We start from the raw sequence: 27,352 nt of genomic DNA, 5'->3' as shown, positions 1-27,352 counted from the left end.
TATCAAATTTTCTTTATAAAATACCCTTAGCATACACAATCAGTGAAACACGTTAGAAATTTGAAAATCAACCAACTAAACAAAAACCTAGAAAATTATAAGGTATGTCTCATTTTCTAAAATATAATTCATACTATCATTTGGAATTTCTTTTACCAGTACAGCACTGATTGCATAATTGTAAATTAAAAAGTTGAGTTATGACTAATCTATGCAAGAAGGTGTCTTTCTGTAGAATCTAGATCCCTAGTCTCTCTCTGAGAACAGAGCCACAAAAATAACTTCAAAATAAATATGAAAACTATACAGCTGTCTCTTTAATTTTAAATTGTGTGTTTGAAGTGCCAGGTTTCACAAAACTGCATGTCCGCATTACCCATCTATATATAAGAGAACTGAAAGATCATTTAGACTATATACATCTCACCTTACAGGCTGACACAGAACATTGAGAAACACGGGAAGCACCTAGTATCTTCTGCCCTAAATGAACTTCTGGCTTGAATAGCAGTATAATATCTTATCTTATAATAGTTATATGCTTAATGATTAATATCTGATGAGAAACATAAAAATCTTGGCATTCTAAGGGTCTTAAGTCGATATTGAAGTGTATCTAACAAAAGCACTTCTGCCATAAGATAATAAAATAGCCAGCATATCATCTTATTAGGAAAAAGGCAGCAATAGGGCCAGTTACCACTATATTCCCAGTGTTTAGCAAAATGCCTGGTACATAGTACGACAAACATCAGTACAATAAATTTAAAATGTAGAACTATTACATTCAATATTTTTACCTCTTTTCCTTTTTCTTCAACTCCCTTCAAAAAATTACCACGCAGTTCTAACACAACTTACTGCTTGGGAAATGCAAGGAGAAACCTAAGCAGCTATTTTATTCAGCTCTTTCAGTGGCTATCCAAACCTGCAGGATAAAGTGAAGGGCCTTATATAGCTCATGTGGACCTGGTTTACTTCTCAGGTCTTAGCTATTCCACTCTTCACAGTATACTACAGTGACACTTGGCTGATTTCAACTTCGTACACTAACTGCAGTGTCTCATTTCCTAATTTCCATATAAGCTGCCCCTCTGACCTAGAGCATCTTTGTTTTCCACCTACCATAACCTTTAAAGCAAGGGTCCCTAACCCCCGGGGCCACAGACCCTGTTAGGAACCAGGTTGCACAGCAGGAAGTAAGTGGTGGGCAAGTGAGCATTACTGCCTGAGCTCTGCCTCCCGTCACATCAGCAGCAGCATTGGATTCTCGTAAGAGAATGAAACCTACTGCGAACTGCACGAGCAAGGGATCTAGGCTGCCCATTCCTTATGAGAATCTAATGCCTGATGATCTGAGGTGGAACAATTTCATCTCAAAACCATCTCCCTGTCCACATTCCTCCCACCCCCAACCCCCATCCCTGGTGCCAACAAGGTTGGGGACTGCTGCTTTAAAGAACTCTGGTGATAGCATCACCTCTAGAGCAACTTTATCTCCATCCTCTTTATCTCCTCTTCTTATTGGTCAAAAATTTGACCAAAGCATCAAATATCTTCTGGAGAAAAAGGAACACTTTATCTGATGGTAAGTACTATTAATAAAATATTCAATCCCTGACACATATGACATAAAAAGAACACATAGGGAGGTATCCATCAATAATCACAAGAAATGTATTACAGAAAAAAGTTCAGTTATATATACAAGTGATATCTATCATCTTTTCCTCCCCACATGAACTCTCATTTGTGTATCAATGACATGAACCTCTAATGGAGAATAATATGACCTCAAGAAAAACCACACTTAGAGACGTGTAGTCCCTTATACAAAGCACATAAATGAAAACCAATAATTGTATGATTAAATAATATTCACATGCACAGCAAAATAAAAGTAGTAAAACTGAAATTACAAGAGCTATGGTGACTGCTGTGTGAGGCGATGGTGCAGTGACATGTGGGAAGCGGAGGAGAGCCATGAGGACTATGTGCCTCACCCTGTGAATCATCATCCTGCTGCTTCAGGCTCTGTTAGGAATAAAAGAGCAGGGCAGGGGACTGGAGGTGGAGGAAAGCTTTGTCTTGTCTTCAGATGTCTCATTATTTTTTCCCTTTCCCTGATGCTCCACTGCAGCCCTGTAAAACATTAGGCAAGCCTCTTAAATACTCCCTGTCTGTTCCATTCCTCGTCTATAACATGGGGAGAAAAGAGGACTGGCTCAAAAAGCCTCTTTGAGAATATCATGATACTGTCAGAAAATCCAAGCATAATCATGCTTCTACTTTTGTAAGGTCAAGCACTAGATGATCTCAGGAGATAGGTCATTTAACTTTCTTTTTTGTTCATCTGAAGAGCCAGATTCCACCTCCGACTCATCCCCACCACACCTCTCAAAGAAGCACCCCTCAAAGAAACCACACTCACACAAGCTCTTATAACCATGTGGAATCGAACTGAAATGTAACCCATTAGAAATGTATTCCTTAGGTGCAATTCACACAAATACTGCATAGTTTGAATTACTTTTTAGAGGGTTTAAAAAATTACAGTTTGTGCTTGCTCTTTGTTTGAAATTATTTCAGGGGATATTCTTGGGGATAAAAATGTTTAAAAAGCTGGATAACCACTCCCAAGAAACTGTTAACTGGAAACTTTTAGTCTATAACTGCACTTAAGGCAAGTTAATTCAAATTAATTCATGACTGCTTTGGCTTCATCTCAAAAGCTGCAGATTCAGAAGGTCTAAGGTGGGACCAAGAACTTGCATTTCTAGGAAGCCTCTGGGGCTGCTGCTGCTGCTGGTCAGGGCACTACACATTGTGAGGACCAGTGATTTTAAATAAGGTACTCTCAAGTATAATCACTTTCACTACCATCTGCTTTTATTTTCTAATTGATAGATGGATCTTATACTGATTCCCTATCTTCCTTTCTTTCAGATGTTACTTCCAAATTCTTTTGTAATTTGAAAATAGGAAGGGATTTTTAAGACTCAAACAGATTTTCTCTTTCTTCAGAATCCAAATTATCAACATCTGACTTAATTTATCACTGTGTCTCCATTGCCTCAATGTGAAATAAGGGCAACAGTAAGGATTCAATAAGATAATTCAAATGAAGTCTTTACTAGACCATGTTAAGTGCTTAATAATACCTATCATTCTTACTGCTATTATCCTCACTAGTTTTCTGTTCATTACTGAGGAAAACTTATTCGTGACTGCTATAGATCGTACATGATTGGTGTATGTATAAAATCTTATCTACTTACGGTAAAATGCTCCAGAGCTCCCCTGGATGCAGTGAACTAAGGAGCAAGGGGAAAGGTTAATGTCACAGACCTGGGTCCTAATCCTGGTTCTGCCACTACATTGCTACATGACTCTGGGCAAGTCATTTTAATGTGCATCCCAATTTTTGCTTCTGAAAAAGCTTACCTTGAATATGAAGCTTAAATGAGATACTGCGAGAAGAATTTTTTTTTTAAGTACCGTAGTATGCCTGTGGTGAAAACCTCCTCTCTTTGGGAATAGTGCACCAGATATTAACAAGAGAGACAAACGGCCATGACCCTTTTATTTACATCCTTAAATGACAGCACAATAATCTGAATTGCCATACAAATGATTTCTGAATGTTACCAAGTCACGGCTATTTTTAAAAAATTATAAGCAGAAATATTTAGTATTTTCAATATTTCTGCCAAATGACAGGAAAAAACATGGATACAAAAGTATTCTCAGGTGTTTTTTAGGTATCATTTGTTGCCTTTTAGCATAATTGTTCTTTTGATGCAGAATCCCAAAGCCTCTATTGGCTCTAGGCTTTTATTTAGTATAAATTCAAATTACACACATATGCATGTGTATGAACAATGGCAACTGCTTGTGTTGGTAATTTCCATCTGTAGTTTCCTACACTCTAGGACATACCTAGTATTCCTGTAAAATTATATAATATAGTTCATAATTTTTAATCTTAATTTTACTGAAAAGAAAAACTAAGGAGTTATAACATTTTCTTCATACATTTAAATTAAATTACTACATTTTATAGGACCAAACAAAAGTCTGCCACCTATTTTTGTATCAATGCTTAATAACTTGAAAAGATAAAATGTGTGTTTTTGACAACATTCTTTGTGGAATGTCACCTAATGAAATATGGGAAATAAAGTTATAAAACTCATGTTTTGTAAGAAATATACTACTGAAAAGCAGTGTGGAAACATTTTAAACACAGCAATGATATTCTTCATTTCAGAGAAATTGAGTTATGAAGTCTCTTATGAATCTTACCCTAATGGCAATCTCTTAATTTACTAATGTGTAAGTCTGCTTTATCATATATTCAGCTTTCTTAATGTAGGGGATATATACATCCTCAAGACACTGCAGACCTTAATTTAAAATACCTAAATGCAATTTAAAATATGTAAGTACAAATTAAAAAAATAAACCTGTATAGAATTTTTTAAATTTTATCAACTCTAACCAAAGTTTAAAAAATTGATTAAAATTTTAAATTTAAGAACTAGTTTAAAAACATAATTAATATAAAATGAGGCAGAACAAAGATAGATGGATTTAAGTTTATACATAAAATTGAAACACAGAAAAATAAGAGCACCATTTCTACCTATTTATAATCAACAATATTCAAATACCAACTACTTTTAATACATTATATTAATCTTACAGTACTCCCACAAAACACACTATATCTAACTCCGCAGACCTAATACACGTGCGTCCTGTACTACAGACTACACAGGTGAGGCTGACAGCACATCCTCACAGCACATCCTCAAAGGGCTTGTGTATTGGATGCAACAGAAGAGGAACACATCTAATGAAGACGCCATGTTAATATACTCAAGACTCTGTCAAAGCATATTTCAGTAATATAGGGAAAGTAAAATCCTGCTGATTTTTTAAAGACTAACATATATGCAAACGGAAATATGTGGAGTCAGGTTATAGGCCTTATGGAAGTTGTTGTTTTCAGAGTTTGTGTCATTATTGCTTACATAATGACACAAACTCTTAAGTATATTGGTCATATACTTTAGAAATCACTCTAAAGTAGATCACTTATAACTGTTCATGCCTCTATTTTATCCTGATGTTTTCAACCACATGAGATGGCTAAGGAGTCCAGAAGCTTATCACCAACTTGTTCAAAGTTCTTATAAATATACATAAAATCTTCAGTTGGTAAAAGTATACCTCAATGGTTTATAAAAATATGGGTAGGAAGAATATTCTTCTGGCCTGAATTAGGAATCTCTAAATAAGATCAACTTGCAAAGCACATAGAACCCCCTCAAATCTTTGTCAAATGAGTAAATGGGCATCAAAAAGCCTGCTTCCCATCAATACAACTGCCTGAAAGGAAACTGTGAAAAGGAAAAAATGGTATTCCAAAAATATCCTTCAATGAGGCAACTGTAAAGTACTTTGTAAAAACTAAGACCCATAGGAAGCTCTATGTAAGTAACTTCATTACTGTTATCCTGTAAATTTAATTTGAACCATAGCAAACTGTATAGATGCATTAGCGTAAGCCATTACACTACTGGCAAAAAGAACTCGTATGTGAATTGCACTACTAGTGAAGATGTAGGCTGCATCATCTTCATATGTGAAAAAAGGCCTATCTCACAAGCTTAACAACCACTCTCTTAATAAAAGTTGACTCAGTAAGACATTAATATACAAGAAGTGTGAATTAAGCCTTGTAATTTATCCTACCACAATAAATTAATCCCTAATAATCTAATGTGTCTTCTATCTACTGTATTTATATAATTTAGAACTTCACAAGGAACTATTAACACGATTCATTTTAACTTATTTTGAGGAAATGCAATTAAAAAGAAAACATCAAAATCCCAATATGTAATTGAGCCGCAAAAGTTTTCCTTCATATTGAAACAGACTGTAATATAGGAGACTGCTTAAAAAAATGTTTGGGATCTGCTCTCTTACACTTTGCTGTCCACAACAGAGATGAAGATTGAGGTAGTCTGAAAATTCTATGAGGATTAAATCAGACTACATTCTCCGTATTCTCTAGGGAAGTAAGCTTTAGGCAGTGTGAAGTACCCTCAACCTCCACGGACCAAGAATAACAACTGCTGCAATGAAAGAGCAGTGTAGTTAGGGTTAAGGAGGTGGTTGCCTCTATAATGAAATTAGCTAGAATACTTATTTGCTGACATTATCAAAGTCAGCTCCATTGGTTTGAGTTGAGGCAGTGTAACTTTTGATGAGACATATAGATTTATAAGATAAGAAGCTATTTTAAACACAACAGGGTTACTCTCCATTTCAAGGAAATCCAGTTATGAAGTCTCTTAACAAAGCTTACCTGAATGATACCCTAATTTACAATATTACAATACAAAATGTATTCATGACATGTAATAGGGGAAAGGTCTACTATACAGTATTATAAATAAATGATAACATATAACATAACTGCTAAATAATATAATTTATAAATGACATAAATATAACTGCATTAAGGGGTTTAGCTAAAGATATAACCATGTAGTTTAATCAAAGTTATCAACAAAAGCAAAATAAAAAATTTCATATACAATTCAGGGGAGGTTAACAGCAGTGAGCCCCATAAATAAAACTATGGATAAGTCAAGCAACAGAGATGAGTCCTAGCTGTAATTATGCTATACCTTTACTTCTCATTTGAAAAAATGACTAAAAAGTAACAAAAGCTGTTTTTAAAATACAAGTAATAGTTTTTATGTGTGTAGTAATGGTATCAATCACTGCCTGAAGAGGGACAGTTAAGGCAAAGAAGTATAGGGGAAATTTAAAATGCATTTTCGGAACAATAACAACTTGAGGAGGCAAATAAATTAGATTCCTATACAACAAAACAGCTAAATTATCTTTAATTTTAAATATTAGAAATACCATCTAGATTAGGACTCCATTTGTTCTTTTTCAATTGTTCTACATAATCCTCACATGGTTTCAGTACTTTCACCAAAGAAATGCCTAATACTTTTCTATTACAAACTAAGCCAAAATATGCATCTTTCAAGTAATAAAAAATTCCTCCACTGAATAAATATAAAACCTCCAAATATAAACAAAAGAGACAAAAGTAACTATGAAGCTAATTTAAAATGTGATTAGAAATACACATGGAAAAGTTATCTTATGGAAGATCTTGAAAGAGAGAAGATAAAAAGGGGGAAGCATACTGGTTTCCATTTTGAAGGTTTTATTGTAAAACACTATTTCTGAGAAGATCATTCTAATAATAAATCCTTTTCTTTTTCACTTAATTAGGTTGGGAGAACTATGAGAGCTATCAAATAGGCAGCAGATAAACAAAGAAAATGAGGACTTTCTCCTGTTGCCCAACTAAAACACTATTAACAAAGCAAATATTATTTACATAATTGTCATTGTTTTCTTAAGTGTTTAAAGTTGTGAGCTGTCAATGACATAATGAAATGATTAAGACATACCAAAACTGTAACTTCATACTGTCCAAAAATGATAGTCTCTTACAATATTAATTTTAAAACTCATACAAAATAAGTAATCATAGATGAAATGTTAAGATTATGCTGGTATACATGGTAAAACAACATAGTTTACTTTGTCTGAATGAATAGAGTATGTTTATAACACAAGTGAGTCGCCATACAGCAATCACTCTTCTAAGAAATGATTTAGAGAAAAGATACATATACACCTAATTTATGTTTTAGATGTACAAGTCATTCTGACAGTTAATGCTATTAAACAAAATATTTCAGTATTACTTGCAATTCACGTATTACTAGATATGTGTTACCTCAACAATATCCGAGTTGGTTCTGCTTTCATGAGGTTCATTATATTCTGTATACTTGAGAAGAACTTTGTCCATATCAGTGCTAGCATATTGAAACAGTTTGTTAGAGCTGTTGAAAATGATGAGTGCTATTTCACAGTCACAGAGCACACTAAGTTCATAGGCTTTCTTCATTAATCCAAACTTTCTCTTTGTAAAAGTGACCTAAACAATAAAAAAGGTATATTTTTATTAAAAGCATTAGTAGTACTTGAATATGGGCTATCTGAAGATGAATCTTCTTCTTAATACTGAGCCAGATTTCAAAGATGGAAAAGGTTCCCAGCTTTGTCCTCCATATGAGCCTTCCCTCTCCTGTTGTGCTACAGTCCTACATTTGTTTTGTATATGCCAAGTTCTCCGACAGAGCTGTCTCCTGGGGAAGTATTTCCTTATCCTTGGCTGCCACTCCACTACAGAGGGTGAAGCACCACAGAAGGAACAGTTGATCAGTGTTCCCTTATCATTCAGTTAAAATTGTTACCATCAGAAACCCCAAATCCCAGCCAGGTAATGTAGCATCAGCCAGACTTTGATCCCTAAACAACTAAATACATCCACTAATCTGAAGTATTTCTCCTCCCTCTCAAGCCCTTCTCTATTGTACCCACTGAAATTCACAGTCTGGGATCAGCAAATTCCCCAAAGTCCTCAAATTCTTCTTTAACTGTTTCTTTCTTTAACTGAAACCTGTTACCTGAAATCCTCTCTAACAGAGACCCCCCCAAAAAATTTTTTTATTTACACCCTTTATATTGACTGAAGGCCCTAAAAGAGATGTCTTTTTATGCTCTGTATTCTCTCTTCGACACTACTTTTCTTTCCCTCCCCTTCAAAAACTTCAAATACTCTGAAGCTCATGCCATACAAAAATTATACCACCCAACAACCCTCCTTGGGGTGAGCAAGAGTTACCCTTGATCCCTCTTCTTCTAATACGGGATGGGAAAGGAATGCAAGGGAACTCTCTTTACTTTCTGCTCAATGCTGTTGTGAACCTAAAACTTCTCTAAAACATAAAGTCTGTTTAAAAAACAGTTTTTGAAAGGTCAGTAAGAATATACTTTTGAATAATCTTTGGAATTGTGCAACAACATAAAGTTCAGCAATTTTCCCCATGGATACCTATCATACGATTTTCTTCCTATAAACTTTAACTACTGGCCTAGACTTAAAATCAGTTATTGCAGTAGCTATTAAAGAAGTAGAGGATCTCCAGTATCATGAAAAGCAATTACTACCACTAGAAATTTTTTTCACGGGCATGACTTTAATATCCTCTTTCATTACAGATACAATACGTACATGTAAAAGCAAAACAACAACAAAATTCATTTCACATGTACAATTCAATGATGTTTCTGTATTTTTTCAGTCTATTTCCTATGTAGCATGATAAAATTAAACAGTGGTATAGTAGTTCAATGGTTTTCACTAAATTTAAGCAGAGTATCTGTTTTCTCCCTATAGTAACACCAAATGCATTTAACATCTACTCATCTTAGCATTTAATCACCTTAATCCCTCTTAATTTTATGTAGATCTAATCTCTTTAACAGTCTCAAAACCTTATGTTTTCTCTGTATTTGTCAAGTGCACAAAGCACAATACTCCACGTATTATATGACCGCTCAAATATTCTGTTAGCTAGTAAACTGAATGAAAATAGAGTTGAGAAGGTTCTTTAAATATTCATTTAACAAGAAAATTTAACTAGCCAATACCATCTAGTCTGTTCATGATACATATTTACATGTAAATTGTGTCATATACCCAAATCACCTTTTATGAATCATCTTTGAATACTGGTCTATATTTGATACTTTAAAATTCTCAGCAGGGCACGGTGGCTCACGCCCGTAATCCCAGCACTTTGGGAGGCTGAGGCAGGCGAATCACGAGCTCAGGAGATGGAGACCATCTTGGCTAACACTACGAAACCCCGTCTCTACTAAAAACACAAAAAATTAGCCGGGCGTGGTGGTGGGCGCCTGTAGTCCCACCTACTCGGCAGGCTGAGGCAGGAGAATGGCATGAACACTGGAGGCAGAGCTTGCAGTGAGCCGAGATCGCACCACTGCACTCCAGCCTGGGCGACAGAGCGAGACTCCATCTCAAAAAAAAAAAAAAAAATTCTCAATATAAAACAGAAATTACAAGTAGAAAAACCTCCGCATCTGTTGATGTACTTGTTTTTACAAATACATTTGGGAACAAACAAAAACAAAATAGAATACAATGGAGGAAAGCAATAAGGAAAGGAATGAAAAATACTATCACTTATGACATGAGTATATGCCTAGAAGATTAGATTATAACAAAATATAACAAGTCACAAAGCAAGAAAACAAGCTGTTAAGAGTACATTTTCCCTTGATTTTAGTGTTTTCAGTTCAAAGTAAGTTTTTGGTTGTCATACAGAGATTTTCCTTCTACATACTAGCTTTCTAAGACATCTAAAAGTGAAAAATCAGTAAAAGCCAACTAATTAGTAGAGTGTTAATTAGTATTTTACAATACAGCCACGTTTCAGTTCATAAATTTGACATGAAAGAGGTAACGTAATCTAAAATTAGGCTACAGAATACTAACTACATAATTAAAACTCAAGACTCAACTTTATTATTCTAAGACAATATTTTTAAACTGATTTCAATTACATTAAAATGATGTAAATTCTTTATATTAACTTCAAAAGAAATCACAAAAGTTAGTTTTAAATTCAAAATGGAATAAAGTCATGTTTACTCCTCTCTACTCCTCTAAAAACATGGACACATACATACATACACATACATAATACTAAAAAAGAGACTGGGTTTTCTTCAAGGAAAGTAAGAATCCCTAACTACAAATTTTCATCTGCCAGATTTGGTGAAATTTAGAAGAAAATGAAAGTGGATTCAGAGAATTCACACTGAGTTCTTCACAAAAGTGGCAGTGTCCTCTGAGAGGATCCTCTGATTAGTGCTACAAGATTCACAAGTATCAGAAGCCCATGAAATAAGTGAAGAATCTTGTTCTAAATGTAGAATGCCAGGGAAGGTGAAACCAAAATAAATAAAGAAAATAATTTTATAGGAAAGCTATTTCTGTTAACTCATACTTAATATAATTGCCAAAAACTGTCAGAGATAACAGATCTAAAATGTGAGCTGGTATGGCTCGGAAATGAATGAGAAGAGAAAAAAAATCAAATCATAACAGAGATTTTTAGCACAATAATGAAAATCAAAGAATCAAAACAGAAAACTAAAATGAATAGAAAAAAGTTGTTTGTATTGTTGACAGATAATGAAGATACCAAAAAAGCCCAGAGCATTTAGCAAAGGAAAAATATTTATTAAAAAATAAAATACAGAAAGGCATACAATCTCTCAAAAAAGTGATAAGGAATAATCAAATTCATGGCATATTCAGATTAAGTTACTGAATGTCAAGGTCAAAGAAAGAATACCATGTACACCAAGGAAGGAAGTGAGTGACTTTTAAGAAGGGAAAAAACTCAGTCTGGTGTTAGAATTCTGGCAACATTCAAAGTCAGAAGACCAAATCTCTACGATGTTCTGGGGAAAAGAAATAGGGCCTATACCTAGAACGTTAGACCTAGCCAAGTCAGACTTCAAGTATAAAGACAATAAACATTTTCAAACATAAAAAAACTCAGGAAGTATAACACCTACAAGCCCTTGTTAGGGGCAAAAAAACCAACAAGCATTACTTGCTGAAAAAACAAAAACAAACAAACAAAAAAAACCAGTCATCTGAGTAGAACATAAGTTGAAAAAAGTTCAATGCTGCACGCTCAGCTTCTAAAACAAAGCTACTGTGTGGCAGTGAGGCGGTGCTAAACAAATTTGTTGAATAAATCTGTAAAGGAATAATGAAGAAAAAGTGAGAAACCCCAGAGGGTATGCTGGAAAATGTACGGGGTCAGGGATGTGGAGGCTTGTAGCCTGGAGAAGAAATCGGCCAGTGGGATTATGAGAAGACAAATTTTTTAAGACAGAGTCTCACTCTGTCGCCCAGGCTGGAGTGCAAGTGGCACGATCTCGACTCACTGCAAGCTCCGCCTCCCGAGTTCATGCCGTTCTCCTGCCTCAGCCTCCCGAGTAGCTGGGACTACAGGCACCTGCCACCACGCCTGGCTAATTTTTTGTATTTTTTAGTAGAGACAGGTTTCACCGTGTTAGCCAGGATGGTCTCGATCTCCTGACCTCGTGATCCGCCCGCCTCGGCCTCCCAAAGTGCTGGGATTACAGGTGTGAGCCAACGCGCCCGGCCGAGAAGACAAATTTTTAAAACAGCAGTTTGGGTTCAGCTTGTGCTTCTCACCTCCGCTGCCTGGAACACTCAATGCCTGCTACATCACAAGAGAACTGGCAGCCATGCTGATGCAGACAGACGCCCTCCAGAATGAAACCTGGGCAGTACAAAAGCTCTGCTGGAGATAGGAGTTGAAGACATCAGGTAGAAACTGACTAACCTCTGGCAGGGTGACTTCTCAACCATTCTTACTCAGAACCTCCACGTTTGGTGGATTGCCAGGTAGATGAAATATCTTCTTCCGATGTCCTCTTCCCTGGGGGGCTCTGTGTGGAGCTGCAATCAGAGTTCTTTGCGGACACTATGGCTTTTTCGACGGCTGGGACCCGCTAACCCATTTATATGATCGACTGGGATCACGCAAACTAGTGCAAATACGTGCGAGATCACAGGGAATAAACATCAACTAGACTGGTGGGTTAAGAGATGGATCAAACTAGATAAAAAACCAATATGCAGCCTCTCATACTATCTATAAAAGACATACCTAAAACATAAGGAAACAGTAAGGTTGAAAGATAACACAGAGTTTCAGACCTCCAAGAAAACACTGGCTGGGCGCCGTGGCTCACACTATAATCCCAGCACTTTGGGAGGGCCAGGTGGGAGGATCACTTGAGCTCAGGAGTTCAAGACCAGTCTGGGCAACATGGTGAGACCTCACCTCTGCAAAAAGTACAAAAATTAGCCAGGCATGGTGCGCATACCCATGTTACTCTGGAGGCTGAAGCAGGAGGATTGCTTGAGCACAGGAGGTCAAGGCTGCAGTGAGCCATGATCATGCCAATGCACTCTGGCCTGGGTGACAGAGCAAGACCCTGTCTCAAAAAAAAAAAAAAAGAAAAGAAAGAAAAGAGGGGAGGGGAGAAAGGGAGTGAAGGAGGGAGAGAGGGAGGAAGGAAGGAAAAGAAAAAAAGAAAAGGAAAGGAAGAAATATGTAGCTATATCAAGGTGAGGTAAGGTAGATTTAAGACAAACATGCCTTACTGAGGATAAAGATGGTCAATATGTATTGCAAAATTTGCCAAGAAGGTACATCACCTCTAAATATGTGCAAGCCTAACGAAATAGTCCCAAAATGTATAAAACAGTATTATTAAATCAATAAAATATACAGAGAAATTGACAAATCCACCATTGTGGTACATACAATTATTGATAAGTCTCAATGAACAAAAAACAAAAAGTCACAAAGAATACGGAAGGTTAGAACACAACAATGAGAGTTATCTGAAAGATATATGGAGATGCATGCATCCAACAATCAAAGAATACATATTTACCCAACTCCATTCGGAACATTTAAAAAAACCAATCTTGATTTAGGAAATAAAGCAAGTCTTAACACACTTAAAAAGGCTCACAATCTACTGAAATAAGGGCAATATACAACACTATGGTAAGTCCCGTCATAAAAGTGTTTACAAAGTGTTTTGGTAAAGACTGAAAGATACTATCTGAAACAGAGACAATACATACAGAATTAATATCCAGAATATGTAAAGAACTTCTAAGAGAAAAAAACCAAAACCAACAACCCAGCACAAAATAAGCAAACCACAAAAACAGGTTGCATTTCACTTTCCTAAGACCAGAAAAAAGAATAAAATAAAATTTAAAAAGGGACAAAGACAGAAAAAATAGAAAAGAAAGGCAGACAAGACAGAAAGAAGGAAAGGCAAAGTATATGGGCAAATAGGAATTATCATACAAACTTACTGCAGTGTAGCTAGTACAATCACTTTGGAAAGCAACTTGAAAACATGGTAAAGCTGATGATGGACATACTCAGCCTAGCAATTCCTTCTGAAACTATCACAGAGCAACTTTTACCCATGTATAATGAGACAGGTCAACAGATGTATACTGCAACACCATTTATAACAGTAAAAAATTAGAAACAACATAGTTGTTCTTTGATAGAAGTATTGATGAATTAAGAATATTTATTCCTAAAACTAGCTGTATTGAATGAGAGCAGATGGATCTCAAAACACTACACTGAGTGAAAAAGCAAGTGCAAATGAAAACGTCACTATGTAAAACTTTAAACCCATGTTGAAACAATATTAAATAATACCTGTTAAAAAATATAAAGAAAACACAATGTAAATTCATGATAGTGGTTATGAGAAGGAAAGTAGGAAGAGACCAGGAAAAATTATAAAGAGGACAGTAAATCTCTAATTTTTTTCACTTTATGAATAAAAATAAAAATACATATAACAAATGTGTCAGCACTGACATATGTTACTTCTGGATAATGAATATAGCAAACCTTGAAGTATCGTTCTCTGTACTCTACCTTTGGAACCTTTGGAAAAAACTTTTATTTTTAAACTGCTTTCTTTCTTTTTTTTAAGTATATGAGGATGTCTGCTTTTAGGTTAGAGGGAGTAGTTGTTGGAAGACCAAAGAACCCACTGAAATCAACTAGTAAAACAGGATGAAATACAACAAATACCTCTTTAAAGACATCAGAAAGCTGCTAAAGCAGGAAGACTGGAGATGCTAAGATTCTATAATCTCTTTCACATACAAGGTCTGAAGGCTCATTAAAAACCACTAGACATGTCAAAAGACTGCATCGTATAATTGAGAACAAAGAGAAAAAGGGATCAGATATGGACTTACAGGTAATCCAGATATAGCTATTCACAGACATGAACTTAAAGATAACTATGGCTAATATTTAAAAAAAAGCTTAAAAATGGAGAAAATGGATGACAAGATGGGCCATTTCCATAAAAATGAAAAATCAAAAAATTCTAGAATTGAAACTATATTATCAGAAATTAAGAACGTACTAGGCTGTTTTATCAGTTAATTTTAAAAAGCAGGAGAAAGGCTTACTAGAAAATAGATTGCTAGAAAATAACTAGAAAACATTCAAACTGAAGTACAGAGAAAAAAAGAGTAAAAAATACAGGAGGACAAAATACATAAGAAATGTATGGGATACAAAACCGTTATATGTAACTAGAATCCCAGAGAAGGAAAAAAATGGGACACAAGCAATATCTGAAGACACATGCCCCTTGTGGGTCCATCACAGTAAAAATGTATATTAACAAAGGAAAAGCAAAAGGCTTTAAAGCAACAAAAGAAAAGAAAGACACATTATCTTTAAAAAAAAAATTTTTTTTAAGATCAAAAGCTGGCCTCTTAACAGAAATGAATGGAAGTTGGAAGACAACTGCTTCAAAGTACTAAGAGAATAAAACTGCCAATCTAGAATTCTACAACCAATAAAAACAGCTTTCAAAATGATCATACAACTAAAAAACAATTAAAAATTATGCAAAGGATTTGAATAGACATTTTTCCAAGGAAGATATACAAATGTCCAATAAGCACATGAAAAGATGTTCAACATCATTAGCCATCAGAGAAATGCAAACTAAAACCACAAGATACCAGTTTATACCCATCAGGATGGCTACAATAAAAAAGACAGGGCTGGGGGCGGTGGCTCACGCCTGTGATTCCAACACTTTGGGAGGCCGAGGCGGGCAGATCACGAGGTCAGGAGATCAAGACCATCCTGGCTGACACCATGAAACCCCGTCTCTACTAAAAATACAAAAAAATTAGCCGGGCGTGGTGGCAGGCGCCTGTAATCCCAGCTACTCAGGAGGCTGAGGCAGAAGAATGGCACGAACCCGGGAGGCGGAGCTTGCAGTGAGCCGACAGCGTGCCACTGCACTCCATCCTGGGCGACAGAGCGAGACTCCGTCTTACACAGAAAAAAAAAAAAAGACAGACAATAACAAGTGTTGGCTGGGATGTGGAAAACTTAGAATGCTGACACATGGCAGGCAGAAAGCAAAATGGTGCAGCCACTTTGGCAGTCTGGCATTTCCCAAAATGTTAAACTTAAGAGTTACCATGTCATCTAGCAATTCTTAAGTATACTTTTATATACTTAGCAGCAAATATGCAGAAAATAAAATTTGAGAAGAAATGTTAATAATGCTTTAGAAAATCAAATATCTACTAATAAATATAACAAAAATGTAGAAGACTTATTTTGAAAACTATCAGCCATTATGGAGAGAATTAATGAAAACCAAATGAAATACAAACATGTTCATAGATTACAAGACTTGACACTGTAAAGATTTCAATTCTCCCTAAATAGATCCCTACATCCAGTGGAAAAAAAATATCTAAATTCCAGTAGGTTTTTTGTTTTCTTAAGTGAACAATGACACTTGGTTTCATTTGGATATTCTGAAAAAGGGCAAGAATAGTCAGCTGGTTCTGAGAAAAAAAAAAAAAAGGTGCAGAACTACACCACCAGATATCAAATTATAGTAATTAAAACAGTGCAGAATTAAGCAAGGATATACAAATAATCAAATGGAACAAAACAGAGAATTTAGAAACAGTTTCACACACATATGGTTACTCGACTCATGATAAAGGCAACCCTGTCATATAGTGAGGAAAGGATGGTTTTATGCAATAAATTGTACTGGGACAACTAAATATCCATCTGGAAAATAACAAATCCTGACCCCTACACCTCAAACCAAACACAAAAATAAACACCAAATGGATAACAGGTCTAAAACATGAAAGGTTAAAAAAAAAGAGTCCTTACAGAAGAAAGCATAGAAGAATATCTTTATGGCCTTATGGTAAGTAAAGATTTCTTAAACGTGACACAAAAGGCACTACTCATAAAGGAAAGGGAAAAAAAGGTAAATGGGAAACCATTAAAATATTATTGATTTTTTAAAACATTAAGAAAGTGTAGGCCTGGTGTGGTGGCTCATGCCTGTAATCCTAGTGCTTTGGGAAGCCAAGGCAGGAGGATCACTTAAGGCCAGGAGTTCCTGACCAGTCTAGGCGAGACACCATCTCTACAAAAAAATAAAAGAATGGGTCGGCCCTAGTGGTACATGCCCGTAGTCCAACCTACTCAAGAGGTGAAGATGAGAGGATCACTTGAGCCCAAAAGTTTGAGTTACAGTGACCTATGATCGCACCACTGCACTCCAGCCTGGGCATCACAGCAAGACCCTGTCTCTAAAATAAAATTTTTAAAAAAGAAAGTGAAAAGGCAAGCCATAGTTTTAGAGCTAATATTTATAATGCATATCATGGACAAAACACTCACCTGATTATATAGAATGCATATTAATAAGAAAAAAGCAGGCAGCCCATTAGAAGAAAACAAAATGAAGTGAACAGACTAGTCACAGAAGATATATATCTAAATGGCCAATAAAAATATGAAAAAGTGAGCACCTTCATTAGACATCATGGAAACTTAACATTAAATTACTATTGTTCACCTACCAGAATGACTAAAATGAAAAGGACAGTACCCAGTATTGCTCAAGACCGGAGCAGCTAGAACTCTTACACTCTGCCAGCAGAGTGTAAACCAGTAGAACTACTTTAGAAAACTTCCGTCAACTACTAACCAAATGCATACCCTTATGACTCAGCAACCGCACTCCTATTTACCCAAGTGTTCACGTATACTATCGAGAATATTCAAAATTACAGTCTTCATAATAGTACCAAAGTAGAAAACAATCCAAATGTCCATTTACAATAGAAAAAAGTAAATACATAAATTGTATTCTACTGACACAATAGATTATACATCAATGAAAATGTACAAGATATACTTACATATATCTACATGCAACAATACCACTGATAAATTTCACAAATGTAATATTGTGCGAAAGAAGACACACTGTTCATATAAACTCAACAACAGGTGTAATTAATCTATAGTGTTAGAAGTCAGGATAATGACCTTCCTTGGGGCAGGGGGAAACAACTGGGAGACAGGATAGAGTGCCTCTCGGGTGGTGCTCTGGGATATGCTGGCTACACGGTCTTCTTCTTTGTGCAAAAATTCACTGAACCACACTCTTAGGATTTCTGAATTTTTCTTAATCTTATACTTTAATACGGTTTACTTTTTTAAAAGTGTTCTAGATAAGGAAGAACAAACATAAGGTTTCACCAGAGGCTTCTAAGTGGAAGTAAAGTGAAGCAGCTCTTTAAGTCTATGATACTGTCACCCCTCCACCACCTGCAAGATTATTTGTGTACTGTTCCAATAATGAAGTGTGATTTTTATCTTGCTAGTTCACACCTGTAATTCAAAACTCTTATTTGCTACTACCTCCTCCAACCAATAGTCCCTAAACCACTCCATCAGAAGTTAGCGGTTTCTTCTATAAACTCTCCCAGTATCTGATATTATTTCTATTTGCCACATATTTAGATCTCCTATGTAGGCTATATATTTTTAGTGAGTTTCCAGGACCTAACACAGTCTCTTGGGATATAGTATATATCTGAATCTGGACAAATAAATGACATCTCTTTTCTTCTGCAAAGATACAGTTTTTCTCCCTTTCATGAAGAAACATGAAACTTTTAAATCAGAATCAAATTCTAAAATCAATAAAGATACTCTTTTAGTTTGTGACAAATTGTTTCTGTGTCTAATTTAACCTGAAAAATAAACTGTCCAATTATTTCTTTTATGTCTTTTCTCCAATCTTTGCCAAAATTATCTGAGACAGAAATTCAGATAGTCCTTGCCCCATTTGGCAGCTAGGCAAGAAGCTGACACAGCAGCTAAGTCCAACGTAAGAACAGCCTCATTCTAGTTGCTTAGTGGCAGTATCTATCTTTTCAACAAGGTCATTTCCTCAACTCAGAAAGTTCCATTACCGTCACCTACACATTCCTAGCTGCTCTTTCTCTCTACAAATGTGAATCCCTTCCATAGGTAGGTCCAGTTTAGCTATGTCCAATTTAAACACGACTATCTATGGAATAATAAGGGCTCGAAAATTTTATGTGTCCTCCAGTTCTTTGCTTGTATGTTATTCCCCAATAAACCCTATTTTATATTTATACTGCATATATCCATGAAGCAGGTCCCTATGCCTCCTCTACACTTCATAATCCTCAGATTGTGAAGGGAAGATAATTTGCAGCCTTGCTTGGAATGATTCCTTTGGAATAATAGCATGGATAGTTTACCAATCTTCCCTATTGTACCAACCTTCATAATGAATCATACTGTGTGGGCCTTATGTCTTTGTTGAACAATCTTCATGAGTTGAAACCAGGGCCTCCTCTTTAATTCAGTCTATGGGCAACCCTCATCTCTCCCACCAACTTCCTTACAGGCTGCTCAGTTGAGTTTTATCTCCAATTATATCTATATTCCAGTGAATTACTACTCAGATTTGCAGAACACATCTTCAGTTTCGTTCTGTTCCTGGTAAACTTTCTGAAACCACTTGTTCTTGAAACTTCTCCTGATACGCAACTTTCCCAGAGATAGCATCTCTCCAGTAGTTCCTTTATAATATGCTATGAAATTATTTTTCCTTCTTTCTTCTGAACTAAGGAGTTGGTAAACTTTTTCTAAAAGTGTCAGAGAGTAAACATTTTACGCTTATGGACCATATAGTTTCTGGGGCAACTACTCAATTCTGTTGTTATAATGCGAAAGCAGCCATAGACAATATGTAAATGAATGAGCATGACAGTGCTCTAATAAAACTTTATTTACAATAACAGATGGCCAGCCCATGGACCATAGTTTGTTAAGCCAACATTAGACACTTAAAACTTCTGGCCTCTTCATATACCAGCATCATTATAATTACCTTGAATCTGTAAGGATTTACCCACACTGGTACCATAAAATAACTTCAATATATTTTATCAATTAAAACTGAGGTACATATATAAATTTAAAAATATTTGCAATAAGTATAAAAAATTCTCATTACATATTGGTTAACCAGAAAATTTAACTGACTAGAACACATTCACTGATAATTATAGTTAACTTAGCTAATTATAAAAACAGATGTGATAACTTAAAAATAATCAATATAAAAAAGACTAACAGTCAAATATATAATCAAATACATAGAAGACTAAATATCTTATGAGAAATCTATACAATGGATTGGTAATGGTGGGGATTGTGGTGATTTTACTTTTGAGTATCTATATTTTTGGTGACATATATCTATAATAAGGAAGTCTCTTTAAAGCAGATGATGAAAAGATACAATTTTATGATTGTTAGAATTTTTCATTTAGTCTGTAACTAAAAATATTTAGACTTAAAATTAAGTTTAAGAAAAACCCAACCATTCTGTCCTATGTTCTTTTTTTAAAAGAATATTCATATCAATTAAATAAATTAAAATTTTCATTTACCTGTCGGTTCCTTTCATCCATTATGCGTGTGATTTGTATTTTCTTCCGCCCCATTTTCAGTCAACTTTCCTTATTTCCTTATATTCCAAATATTTAATTCAAAAGTTAATTTTCTTCAATACCCTAATGCATCGTACACAGCTTCTGTTATTTCAGCTTCTAGTCCAAGGGCTACAGCTGAAATTTTCTACAAGATCTAAAAGAAAACACAAATTAGAAGATTTAAAATCTGTAAGTTTACAAATCATGTAAGTGTTATACAAATTTCAAATTTGCTTTTACACTGCACACAGCATTATTAGTTGAAATTTCTGGTTATACAAAATTAGTAAATAAGTTGAAGTCTTGTTAACTTTACCCCTAAAATACCTCTTGAATCTCTTTGTGTCTCTAGTTCTGGTTAAACTAATGCAACAATAATGTTTGAGGTTTTCTCAATGTATACAATAATAGCAACAAGAGCCAAGCCTTACTGAGATTCTTCTATGTACTAGACATTTTCCTAAGCATGGACATGTCTTAACTCATTCAATCCTAATAGCAATCTATAATTATTACCTCCATTTTATAAATAGAGACACTGAGACACAGAAAAATTAAGCAATACGCCCAAGGTCACGTAGTAAGGGGCAGAGCTTGGGGTTATAAACTCAGGGAATCTGGTTCCAGCACTTCTGTTCTTCACAACACAGAATATCCTTAAAAACTTCTGATGACCTCCATACCAAACAATGAACTAATCTGGATAGCCCCAATCTGTCTTTTCAAATTCTTGCAAATTGCCCTAGCCTCCAGCCAAATCACTATTTGTCAATTCACAAAGCCACTATATACTTTCGTAAAAATATGCATTTAAATGAAACATTCCTTTGGCCATTTAATGAACACCTCCTTATCAGTCAAGATTCAGTTTGCACTTCCAGATGAAGTGAAAATCAATTTCCCTTGGTAGAATAAACCACAGCACCTTCGTGTGTGTGTGTATAAATTTTAAGTCTGCTTTCCTTCAAGACTTAAAAAATCTTTCAAGCGTTTTTTATTCCATTTATTCTGTGTAGTAGGATGACTGGAAATGATATAGTTTGTCATGTTCTGAATGATGGCTGTGTCATTTTAAAAACCTAGTGCTTTCAGACTTACATAATAAAAATACGAGGAGATGGGGGCATGAATGCTATAATACAACAGTCATAATAATACATTCCCATGGGAATTTTATGCAAGTATTTTCAATACTGTACATGTGTATCAATAAAACTTCAATTGTACTGTGCAAATCCAGTGTGTGATTAAATCTGGCTTTTGCTCAAAAGCTATAAGCCTTTCGTTTCTTATCATTTCCAGCACTAACATCAGCACAGCATTTCTTATTTATCTTCCCTCATTATTTTATTTCTTCATTGATACAAACAGTAGTTGATCATCTATTAACTGATAACCTATTAATTGTTCACCTACTTCTAATAAATGTACTTCCAAACACTGAACTATGCACAGAGGATAACATGGTCAGAAAAAAAAAAAAGGATATGATTCCTAATCTAGCAGAGTTCAGAGTCTAGTAGAAGAAAAAGACATTAATCAAACCATAATGCAAATGAGTTTGCATAATTCCAAACTAGAAAGTTCATTTATCTGAATTAAATTTATGGTTCAGGAAAGGCTCCCCTGAGGATGTGTCTCATACTCAAACTCGAGTATGAGATATACATATTAGGCAGGGAGAACAACATGTACAAAAGCCCCATGACAAAAGGGAACAGGAAACATTAGAGGAACTGAAAGATGGCTAGTCACTCGTGGGGCCCAATCAAACAGGCTGTGTTGTAGAATATTTCTTTTAACAGATCACATTGTATCCAATTCCCAATATAAACACTTGTACTGTAGTAGGCAAGAGAAATATTAATACATTTTACTACAGAGACAGTATCGCTAAGGCATGCAAGATATTTTAATGGCTGTAAGATGGATACAGTGTACTACCTTATATCACCTAAAAAATTCTTAATTCCAGAACATATTTGGGCATTTTTTGCTTTTGACAATGGTGGAGTAGTTTGCTTCAAACCAACCTTCCTTTGAGAACAACTAGAAAAGAAAAACACAAGATAATCTGTTTTATACACTAGAGAACTTTCAAAACTAGAGAATCTGCAGGGCGGAGATCTGGAAGAAATAGGTGAGACCAGTCTCTGGACTCATCTGCCTGTAGATTCCAAAACTACTGCCCGAGAGACTGAGAAAGTTAACAGAGCTTTCAAGAGACCTGTGGGCGGACATACAAAACTTGGATTTAGGGTCTGCCAAGGAGGAGCAGCCCTGGCAAACACATCAGGCATAGGGACAGACTCCAAAGAACTATACTCTAGGTATAAAGGTGAACTAGCAACAGACTAGCCCACGCAGGAAGAGAAGCACAGCTTTAAATCATCTCAATCCCTCATTCGATTAAGGCAATCCGGGCCAACTACTCTTATTGGCCTAGCTGCATACCAGTAGCAAAAGTAATTCTCAGCAGAAAGATAACATCATCTAGAAATTCACATTTTTTCACGTTTCATATAAATGTCTGGAAATCAAAATATAACCGGTCAAAACCCAACTGAAACCAAGATTTTTAAAATGGCAATAGAAACAGATTCACAGTAGATCCAGATAATGGTGTTATCAGAAAAAAGTTTAAAACAAGTTAAATGTTCAAGGAATTAAAAAGTAAAATGAAGAATTTTCATAAACAAAAAGTGGAAAACATGAAATCAAAAAATACAATTTTGAAAAAGAAGTGATGGATGGTTTTAATAATACTTTAGACACAGCTGAAGAAAGAATCAACCCAGAAGACAGGAAACAATAAAACACCTAGACTGAAGCACAAAAAGAGAATGAGAAATATAGAAAAGAATGAGAAATTACAGCACATGGAAAACGGATACAAAGTACATGTAACTGGAGTCTCAGAGGGGAGGAGAAAACATATAGGCAAGAAAAAAATATCTGAAGACATAATAGCTAAGAACTTTCAAAACTGACCAATGAGACATCGAGCCACAGATTCAAGAAGCTCTATCAATCCTCAAGCAAAATAAATACAAAGAAAACCACACTTAGGAACATCAAAGGGGAGAGAGGGGGAGAAGGAAAGAAAGAGGGGAGGGAGAAGAGAGGGACGGGGGCAAGAGTGGGGGAGGGAGAAGGAGGTCCCCCACCCCCAAAGAGAGATTTTTTTTTTTTGAGACAGAGACTTGCTCTGTCACCCAGGCTGGAGTGCAGTGGCGTGATCTCGGCTCACTGCAACTTCCGCTTCCACGGTTCAAGCGATTCTCCTGCCTCAGCCTCCCAAGTAGCTGGGGCTACAGGCACGTGCCACCACGCCCGGCTAATTTTTTGTATTTTTAGTAGAGACAGGGTTTCACTGTGTTAGCCAGGATGGGATACAATGAAGTTTCTCTTCAAATAACATGATCAATCTTTTATTCTTTAACTCATAGTACCCCCACCCCGGCCTTTTTCCCTTTTTCTCCTTTTGCCTTTGTTAGATGCCCAGGCACGCCACAGTACCAGGCGTTATCAGTACCAGCTCACATTCCTTTCCTTATTTGGAAAGAGGACTAACTTTCTAGCTCATTACAGACACCCCTTCCCCTTTCCTCTCCGCTTTCTTTTACATGCCCACCTTATCTAAAAAAAAATCAAATGTTTAGCCAACCGGGATTAGTTTAGATTGTACGACCCGACCCCAGACAATGGGAAAAAGGTACAGGGGCAGGACTTGCGTCAGGAATAAAGGCTCTCGTGCCCCTTTGTTCAGGTGTGCTCTCATGGCGACTGGCCAATGAGGCACCCCTCTGTGCAGAAGTAAATTGCTTTGCTAAGAATCCTTTGTTCGAGTGTTCAATTTCCTTAGGATTTTGAGTGTTATTCCTAACACCAGGACGGTCTCGATCTCCTGACCTCATGATCCACCCGCCTCGGCCTCCCAAAGTGTTGGGATTACAGGCATGAGCCACCGCGTTCAGCCAGCCAGAGAGATCTTAAAAGCAGCCAGAAAAATTTAAAAAGATTAACTTCAAGAAGCAACAATAAGAGTTATAGCTAGCTGACTTTTCCCAAATAATAAAAGCCAGAAGACAGTGAAATGGTATCTTCAAAATGCTGGTGGGGAAATGCCAAACCAAAATTTTGTATCTGACAAAAAAAAAAAAAAAAATCCTTCTGAAATGAAGGCAAAATAGAGAGGCAACTTTAAGGCAAACAAACAGAGTCTGTTATCAGGAAATATTGAAGGGACTTTTCAAGTATAAAGAAAAAAGAACCCTATATACAGCTTGGATATGCACAAAAGATGAAGTGCAATGAACAGGGTTGAGAGGGTTCACTGAGTAACTCCAAAGGAATAAAGGAATACTGACTAAACAATAATACTTTGTGGGATTTCAAATGTTACAATACATAACAGTAATAGTACATAATAGGGGAGGATAGCAAAATGAAATAAAAGTGTCCTAAAATCCTTTCATTGATTAGGAAGTAGAAAAAATGCTCATTTACTTTAGACCTTAAAGTCAGGGATGCATGTGGTAATCTCTTGGGTAACTATGGCAAGAACAGTAAAAGCACAAACAGCTAAGAGGGGGAAAAATGGATTAATAAATAACCCAAAAGAAGGCAAGAAAGGAAAGACAAATAGAAAGCAAACAGAGATGACAGATTTAATCCAAATATGTAAGTAATTACATTAAATAGGATTAAACTAAACCTCAATTTTTAAAAGAAGATAATAGAAGTGGATTTTTAAAAATCCCAATTATATGATGATTACAGAGGACACATCTTAAATATGGGGATACAGAAAAAAAGTAAAAGCATAGTGAAAGACACACCATGTAAAACACAAACCAAAAGAAAGTTGTGTGGCTATCATAGTAAACTTGAATGCAGGAGGCAGACACTAGATACATATACATGGATTGCATGGATAGATATAGAAGGATACTTCAAAACAATAAAAGTTCAATTCACCAGGAAGACATATCAGTTCTAAATCTGAGTGTACCTAACAACACTTACAGTTAGGAATCTGCTCCTGAAAATCAGATATTCTGTGCAAAAACCATAACCAGAAATTTATTTCCCATTATTTCAAGTAGGGAAAAATTATAATACGTTACACATCAACCATAATCCCCAATCATTTCTCTTTTAAAATTCAGCACACAAAAAAATCCCCTTTTATAGTAAATTACCATGGCTAAGGGATGTAAAATGCTTACTACATGACTTCATATGCAGTTACTTTCTCACTGGCTTTTTTTCCTTCTCCACAATTTAACACTTCCTCAACTTTTTTGTGCATTCTACAAATCTAAGCAAAAATAAGGGCTAAATATGAAAGGCAATTAGAAAAATGTTTAGCACAAACACACATGGAAGACAATGGCTCAAAGGCTTCTAATATTGTAATGTCTAGCTTATTGCCAGCAACATCAGAGATGCACATTCCCTTTACATGCTTCAAAATGCCTAAATGTAATTCTAATATTCTACAAACTATACTTGGAATATAATTTGTGACTTTTCACATATACCAGTTTGTTAGACTACTGAGTTTTGTGATGTAAAAATACACTTTTCCTAAATAAACTTCAGCTAAGAAACAGGGTATGCCTATATATAAAGCCAACACCAAAAAAACTAAGTCAAGTCTACAATTATAGCAAGTCTTTTTTTTTTTTTTTTTTTTTTTTTTTTTTTGAGATAAAGTCTCACTCTGTCGCCCAGGCTGGAGTGCAGTGGCGTGATCTCGGCTCACTGAAACCTCTACCTCCTGGGTTCAAGTGATTCTCCTGCCTCAGCCTCCCGAGTACCTGGGACTATAGGCATCCATCATCATGTTCAGCTAATTTTTGTATTTTTAGTAGAGGCGGGGTTCACCATGTTGGCCAGGCTGATCTCAAACTCCCACTTTTTCACTGGCCCTAACCCACTTCGTGTTCCTTACTATCTTCCTTATCCAGTTACATATTCACACCCTCACCTCCTTTTGGCTCCAACCCCTTGCCTCCATTTTGTTGCAAAATCTGACCCCTGAAGACCAGCTTCCATGTAGCTAAATATGGCTAGGTGAAAAAAAATTAGCATGCCAATCAAGCCAATTAATCTCACTTTAAGTTCATGAAGGTCATGAACCTTAAACCTCAAATATTCCCTTCATATTACAATCTTCCATTTCCAGAAACCTTCCATTTCCCAATTCCTTGTTGATTATTTTATGCCATATTCTCTCTGCTTACATCTCCAACATGCATCAGTCATCTTCGCTTTCGGTTAGATGACTTTGCTTGTCTTGATCCTGAGAGAAATTTAAAATGTAGAAAATAATAAGCAAATCTATATTTGCAGAATTTCAGAAATTTCAACTTTATAAAGATGTTAATTCTCCCCAAATTCATGTACAGACTGAATGCAAACCCTATCAACATATCAGCGGGTTCTCTCTTATTGTATGTGGAAATTGATAAGCTGATTCTAAAATTCATTTGGAAATACAAAGGTTAAAGAATAGCCAAGAAAACCTTGAATGATAAAGCTAAAAGACACACATACTATATAAAGCCATAAAAATTAAGATGCTGTGATTTTCCCCCAAAGGAAAACTCAAAGCTAGCAGAAAGCAGGAAATAACAAATTTGAGAGCAGAGATAAATGAAATAGATAACAGAAAAACAACGGAAAAAAAAAATCAACGAAGCCAAAAGTTGATTCTTCAAAACGATTAACAAAATTGACAAACCTTTAGCTAGACTGACTAGGAAGAAAAAGAGAAGACTCAAAATTACTAAAATCAGAAATGAAAGTGGGGGCATTACAACTTACTCTATAGAAATAAATGAGACTGTAAGAGGGTACTTATAAACA

At 35.7% G+C, this 27,352-nt stretch overlaps 1 protein-coding gene across 82 annotated transcripts in view, besides 2 other annotated features; it reads right to left on the bottom strand.

Moving 5' to 3' along the window:
- MEF2A (myocyte enhancer factor 2A) overlaps positions 1–27,352 on the bottom strand; it is a 151,072-nt gene that overhangs the window by 62,881 nt on the left and 60,839 nt on the right. For 59 of the 82 annotated variants that reach the window (NM_001400049.1, NM_001400057.1, NM_001400064.1 and 56 more), the window contains 2 exons: positions 20,435–20,630; positions 7,844–8,047 (listed from right to left, as the gene is read on the bottom strand). In NM_001400049.1, coding sequence (NP_001386978.1) covers positions 7,844–8,047; positions 20,435–20,488 — 258 coding nt within the window. In that variant the 5' untranslated portion in view covers positions 20,489–20,630. Of the gene's footprint in view, positions 1–7,843; positions 8,048–20,434; positions 20,631–22,420; positions 22,526–26,727; positions 26,787–27,352 lie in introns of all 82 variants that reach the window. The other 23 variants (NM_001365209.3, NM_001393559.2, XM_011521585.3 and 20 more) reach the window with 3 other exon arrangements.
- Positions 2,118–2,318: a silencer, noted in NCBI's record as "peak2449 fragment used in MPRA reporter construct". NCBI's record gives its function as "represses an SCP1 promoter by STARR-seq MPRAs in K562 erythroleukemia cells {active_cell/tissue: K562}" and the evidence as "EXISTENCE:reporter gene assay evidence [ECO:0000049][PMID:32103011]".
- Positions 23,927–24,577: an enhancer, noted in NCBI's record as "OCT4-NANOG-H3K27ac hESC enhancer chr15:100169236-100169886 (GRCh37/hg19 assembly coordinates)". NCBI's record gives its function as "activates a minimal SCP1, AML or CMV promoter by ChIP-STARR-seq in naive H9 embryonic stem cells {active_cell/tissue: H9 hESC(naive)}" and the evidence as "EXISTENCE:reporter gene assay evidence [ECO:0000049][PMID:30033119]".

The sequence above is a fragment of the Homo sapiens genome, chromosome 15 (assembly GCF_000001405.40).
Source record: "Homo sapiens chromosome 15, GRCh38.p14 Primary Assembly".
Lineage (NCBI taxonomy): Eukaryota > Metazoa > Chordata > Mammalia > Primates > Hominidae > Homo > Homo sapiens.
This window is presented reverse-complemented; position numbering and strand designations above follow the sequence as displayed.